Here is a 6,000-nt window from a genome sequence, read left to right as displayed (position 1 = left end):
TCCTAGCAGTGGAAATGTTTAAATATGCTTTTTGTTGTTTTACAGCCTTTTGCATTTAAATTGGGCATGTCATTATCACGTTTCATTAGCTATTCCTCATACCAGCCCTGTGAGGTTGGCTCTGTTATCTGCATTTTACAGGCAAGGGCACTGAGAGGTGAAACAACTTGCCTGGGTTCAGATGACAAAGTGAGCTGCTGGAAGAAGTGGATTTCAGTGTACAACTTTGCCTTCCAGCCTGCTTGGCTGGTTCACAGAGGTCTGTGACTTTGAACATGATAACAAAATGTAGATTTTCTAATATTAGACTTTGAAAATCATTTTAATGACACTAATTCCAGAAAAGAGAATTGAGGTCAGATTTTAACTATTTGGCTTGATTGTTTTTTATGAGGAGATTTGTTAGATACTTTAACTGGACTGCCTAGACCCGAGGTCCTTGAAATGTTCACCGTGTCCAGAGATGTAGCACCGTTATTTCCTGCTCAACTGCACTGCCTCTCAGAAGTCCCTCTTTCTTCAGCAACCTTCCAGGAGAGCCCAACCATATAATGGAACCTGTAAACAATATTTAAATAGGAGTAAAATACTTTTATGAAGCTGGAAGGGATTCAGGGCTTATCTATTTAAGAAAAATGTACCATGGCCCATGAACTTCCTAAAATTCTATGTATAAACATGAGTGCAGATGCATATGGCTTTTCTTTTTCCTGAAAAGCTTAAGCTTTTGGACCATTCTTTTAAAAAGTGGTTATGTCCCTAACAGACTGGGAAATTGAAGCTCAGTGAGTTTAAGAAACTTGCCTTAAGCATCACACGGCAAGGCAAGAACGTGCTCAGTCCAGAACCTCAGCTCTCCCTTGTGACAGCAGAACTCTGGCCATTATCTTGATTCCTGGAACATGCATTTACCTTGAAGAATTACACCTATGGGCTCTTTAAGCCATTTACTTTATTCTAAAGAATAGGTTTCCCCAAAATGGTATCCCCTATCGAGATAAAACCGCTGGCACTCCCCTGGAGGACAATTGGCTGAGGTAGCTCTTTTTATTAAGGGAAAGGTTACCCATTATTATATATCTCATTATTAAGGGAAAGGTTACCCTTTCCCTTGATAGCAGAAGGGAGCAACCGCAGTTTCCAGAATTCCCATTTCTGATAACTCTGCCCAATGTGATTAACAATTCTATTATTGCATCACCCACTAACTCCCTATGTGATACCAGGTGATTCAATGAAGACAAGTGATTTTCGACCTTGGCAGCACTTTAGATTCACCCAGAAGAGCTTTTAAAGATCCCCATGCCCATGGCCAGACCACACCCTGGACCAATTAAATCCAAATCCCTGGAGGAAGGACTCAGGCAAGAGGGTTTTTTTGGTTGTTGTTTTTGTTTTTGTTTTAAAGATCCTCAAGTGACTCCAGTGTGCAGCCAAAGTTGAGAACCACTAATAGAAAGAAGTAAGAAAGGAAAGGAAATCATATTTCTAAGGCACCTATTACAAACCAGGTGCTTTACATGTGTTAGTTCATTTACTCCTCATTGACTCAGAGAGGCTGTATAACTTCTCCCAAATCACACAGCTGGAAAGTGGCAAGGTCCAGTTTTAAGTCCAGGTTATTATAATTCCTAAGGCATGCTTTTATCACAGGAACAGATGGTTTCTTGAAGGCTATTTGTAAAACATAGATTTAGTGAGGATTAAATGAGGTGCCACCCATTAAGCACTTGGCACATAGTCAGTGGACCTGAAGACTCTTTCTGTCTCCATCTCTCAGCCTATGCATTTTTCTTAAATGCTCCTCTTGACCCACGCTATGACATGACACCAAGACACTAAGGTCAGGGAGCTTCATGTTAACCCCAGCAGCTATGCAGTTATAACACCTTCTTTATACACAAACCATGTTATATCAGAATTTCTTTTTTTTTTTTTTGAGACAGTCTTGTTCTGTTGCCCAAGCTGGAGTGCAGTGGCACAAGCTCTGCTCACTGCAAGCTTCGCCTCCCAGGTTCATGCCATTCTCCTGCCTCAGCCTCCAGAGTAGCTGGGACTACAGGTGCCCACCACCACGGCCGGCTAATTTTTTTGTATTTTTAGTAGAGACGGGGTTTCACCGTGTTAGCAAGGATGGTCTCGATCTCCTGACCTCGTGATCCGCCCGTCTCAGCCTCCCAAAGTGCTGGGATTACAGGCGTGAGCCACCAAGCCCGGCCTATATTAGAATTTCATTGTATGGGGATGTTAAGTTTTAGGGGACATAAATTGATGGAATGTGTAACTGAAAATATGTCCTGCCTTATTACATGCATTTTATAGAAGCTCTTGGGTTTATATACGTTAATGTCCTGTAGTCATTACTTCCCTCTCTTGCGATTGTGGGATAAATGGAATTCTTCATTTAACTGATGGGAAAGTTAGCAACGGTGGCATGGCCCTGTTATGCAGTTGAAACCTGGTGTAAGGTTTCATCCATCCATCCATCCATCCATCCATCCATCCATCCATCCCTCCATCCATCCATCTATCCATGCATCCATGACCTTCACAGGATAAGGGCAGGGGGCTGTTCCCCACCAATTGTAAATATTTTCTGTCTCTTCCAGTCTATACGTGAGAGTCATAAACCATTAAATTTGTTTTTTTCTGAATTAGTGGTACTCAAACAGTAATGGATGGAGCAGGGTCCTCTTCAGGGTGAGACCTATTTTGGCATCTGAGGAGTGGAGGCAATGACTTTGTCCACCATGTCTCTCTGTGTTAACTAGTGCTGAAGGAATCACAGGCCAGGCATTGTCCTAGATGCTTTGTGGCAGGTGAGTCAGTATTCAAACCAGGCAGCCTGGATCCAGAGTATGGTCTCTATGTACAGTGCTAATCCTTGGGAGCCACAAGAGATCTGGGGGACTGTCACAGAGGGAGAACCTCAGAGAAGAAGGGCATAAGGCATGTGGCTGATCATGTCCATGCCCCTTTCCTTCTTTGTCCCCTGTTCCTCCAAATCACTGTTCACCAACCTCCTTCTGAGAAAGAAGGAACCACGAAGAGTTAGAGATAGTCTTCTCTGAAGAGAGGAGAGGAGAAGGACCAACAATCTCTCTCCTCTTCACACTTTATTCATTTCTTCAGCCTGCATTGAGAGCTGGCTATGTGTGTGACATGGTTTTCAACTCTTTGCACACATTAACTCAGAAAAGTGCAGTCACTTGCCTAAGGTTCACTGCTATGAGGGGTGAGCCTGGAGGGGACCCAGGCAGTCTGACCCTACAGTTGTGCTCTGAGCACAGGCTAATGCAGGCACCAAACCTTATCAAACTGATGACATGCAGTGCCAGGCTTCTGACTTCTGGTAGTTTCTATTCTTTTAAAGGAATTTTTGGTAGAGATTTTTGGTAGAATATAATAATTCATGTAAACTGAAATTAAATTTTTATCAGAGAAAGATCAGTGGCCTTATGTATTAGTCCATTCTCACATTGCTATAAAGAAATACCTAAGACTGCATAATTTATAAAGAAAAGAAGTTTAATTGGCTGATGATTCCACAGGCTGTACAGGAGGCATGTCAGCATCTGCCTCTGGGGAGGCCTCAGGGAGCTTTTACTCATGGCAGAAGTCAAAGGAGGAGCAGGAGTCTTACACAGTGGGAGCAGGACAGTGTGGGGGAGGCGCCACCCACTTTTAAACAACCAGATCTCATGAAAACTCACTTATTGTGCCATACCAAGGGGGGATGGTGCTAAATCGTTCATGAGAGCCCCACCCCCATGATCTAATCACCTCCCACAAGGCCCCACCTCCAACATTGGGGATTACAATTGAACATGAGATTTGGGTGGTGACACAGATCCAAATCACATCATTCCACCTCTGGCCCCTCCCTAATCTCATGTCTACCTCAAATTCAAACTACAATCATGCCTTCCCAGCAATCCCCCAAATTCTTAACTCATTCCACCATTAACTTAAAAGTCCAAAGTCTCATTTGAGACAAGGCTAGTTCCTTCTACCTATGAGTCTGTAAAATCAAAAACAAGTTAGTTACTTCTGGCTGGGCACGGTCGCTCATGCCTGTAATTCTAGCACTTTGGGAGGCTGAGGCGGGTGGATCACGAGGTCAAAAGATTGAGACCACCCTGGCCAACCAACATGGTGAAACCCTGTCACTACTAAAAGTACAAAAATTAGCTGGGCATAGTGGTGCATGCCTGTAATCCCAGCTACTCAGGAGGCTGAGGCAGGAGAACCGCTTGAACCCAGGAGATGGAGGTTGCAGTGGGCCGAGATAGCACCACTGCACTCCAGCCGGGGTGACAAAGTGAGTCTCCATCTCAAGAAAAAAAAAAAAAAAAACAAGTTAGTTACTTCCAAGGTACACCAGAGATATAGGCATTGGGTAAACACTTCCATTCCAAAAGAGAGAAAGGGGATACAGGCCCCGTGCAAATCCAACATGTGGTAGTGCAGTCATTAAATGTTAAAGCTCTAAAATAATCTTATTTGACTCCATGTCTTACATTTAGGGCACATTGTTGCAAGGGGTGGGCTGCCAAGGCCATGGGCTGCTCTGTCCCTGTGGCTTTGCAGGGTTCAGACCCCAAAGTTGCTCTCATGGGCTGGTGTTGGATGCTTGTAGCATTTCCAGGCTCAGGGTGCAAGCTGTTGGTGGATCTACCATTCTTGGGTCTGGAGGAGAGTGGCCCTCTTCTCACAGCTCCACTAGGCAGTGAACTAGTGGGGACTCTGTGTGGGGGCTCCAACCCCACATTTCCCCTCTGCACTGCCCTAGTAGAGGTTTTCCATGAGGGCTTTTCCCCTGCAGCAGGCTTCTGCCTGGACATCCAGGCATTTCCATACATCCCCTGAAATCTAGGTGGAGGCTCCCAAGCCTCAACTCTTGCACTCTGTGTGCCCTGGGGCTTAATACCACATGGAAACCCTCTGAAGCAGTGGCCTGAGCTGTATCTGGGCCCCTTTGAGCCATGGCTGGAGCTGGAGCATTTGGAATGCAGGGAGCAGTGTCCTGAGGCTGCACAGGACAGTGGGGCTCTGGGCCTGGCTCATGAAACCATTCTGTCCTCCTAGGTCTCTGGGCCTGTGTTGGGAGGGGCTACCAAGTAAGTCCCTGAAATGCCTTCAAGGCCTTTTCTTCATTGTCTTCGCCATTATCATTTGGCTCCCTTTTTATGCAAATTTCTGCAGCCTGCTTGAATTCTTCCCCTAAAAATGGGCTTTTCTTTTCTACCATGTGGCCAGGCTGCAAATTTTCCATATTTTTATGCTCTACTTCCATTTGAAATATAAGTTCCAATTTCAGGTCATTTCTTTGCTCACACATATGAGCATATGTTTTTAGAAGCAGGCACGTCACATCTTGAATGGTTTGCTGCTGAGAAATTTCTTCCACCAGACACCCTAAATCTCCTCTCTCAAGATCAAAGTTCCACAAATCCCTAGGGCAGGAGCACAATTCAACCTAGCTTTTCCCTAAGGAATAACAAAAGTAAACTTTTCTCCATTTCCCAATAAGTTTCTCATCTCCATCTGAGACCACCTCAGCCTGGTCATCTCTGTCCATATCACTATCAAAATTTTGGTCATGATAACTCAACAAATCTTTAGAAAGTTCCAACCTTCCTTAATCTTTCTGTCTTCTTCTGAGCCCTCCACACTCTTCCAACCTCTGCTCATTACCCAGTTCCAAAGTCACTTCCACATTTTCAGGTATCTTTATAGCAATGCCCCACTCCTTGGTACCAATTTTCTGTATTAGTTTGTTCTTGCATTGCTATAGAAAAATACATGAGACTAGGTAATTTACAAAGAAAAGAGGTTTAGTTGGCTCATGGTTCCACAGGCTGTACAGGAAGCATGGCAGCAACTGCTTCTGGGGAGGTCTCAGGGAGCTTTTACTCGTGGCAGAAGGCAAAGCAAGAGCATGCATCTTACATGGCAAAAGTAGCATCAAGAGGGAGAGAGAGGAGGTACTAAATACTT

Source organism: Homo sapiens, chromosome 4 (assembly GCF_000001405.40).
Source record: "Homo sapiens chromosome 4, GRCh38.p14 Primary Assembly".
Classification (NCBI taxonomy): Eukaryota; Metazoa; Chordata; class Mammalia; order Primates; family Hominidae; genus Homo; species Homo sapiens.
The sequence above is the reverse complement of the archived record's forward strand: the minus strand, read 5'-3'. Positions refer to the sequence as shown.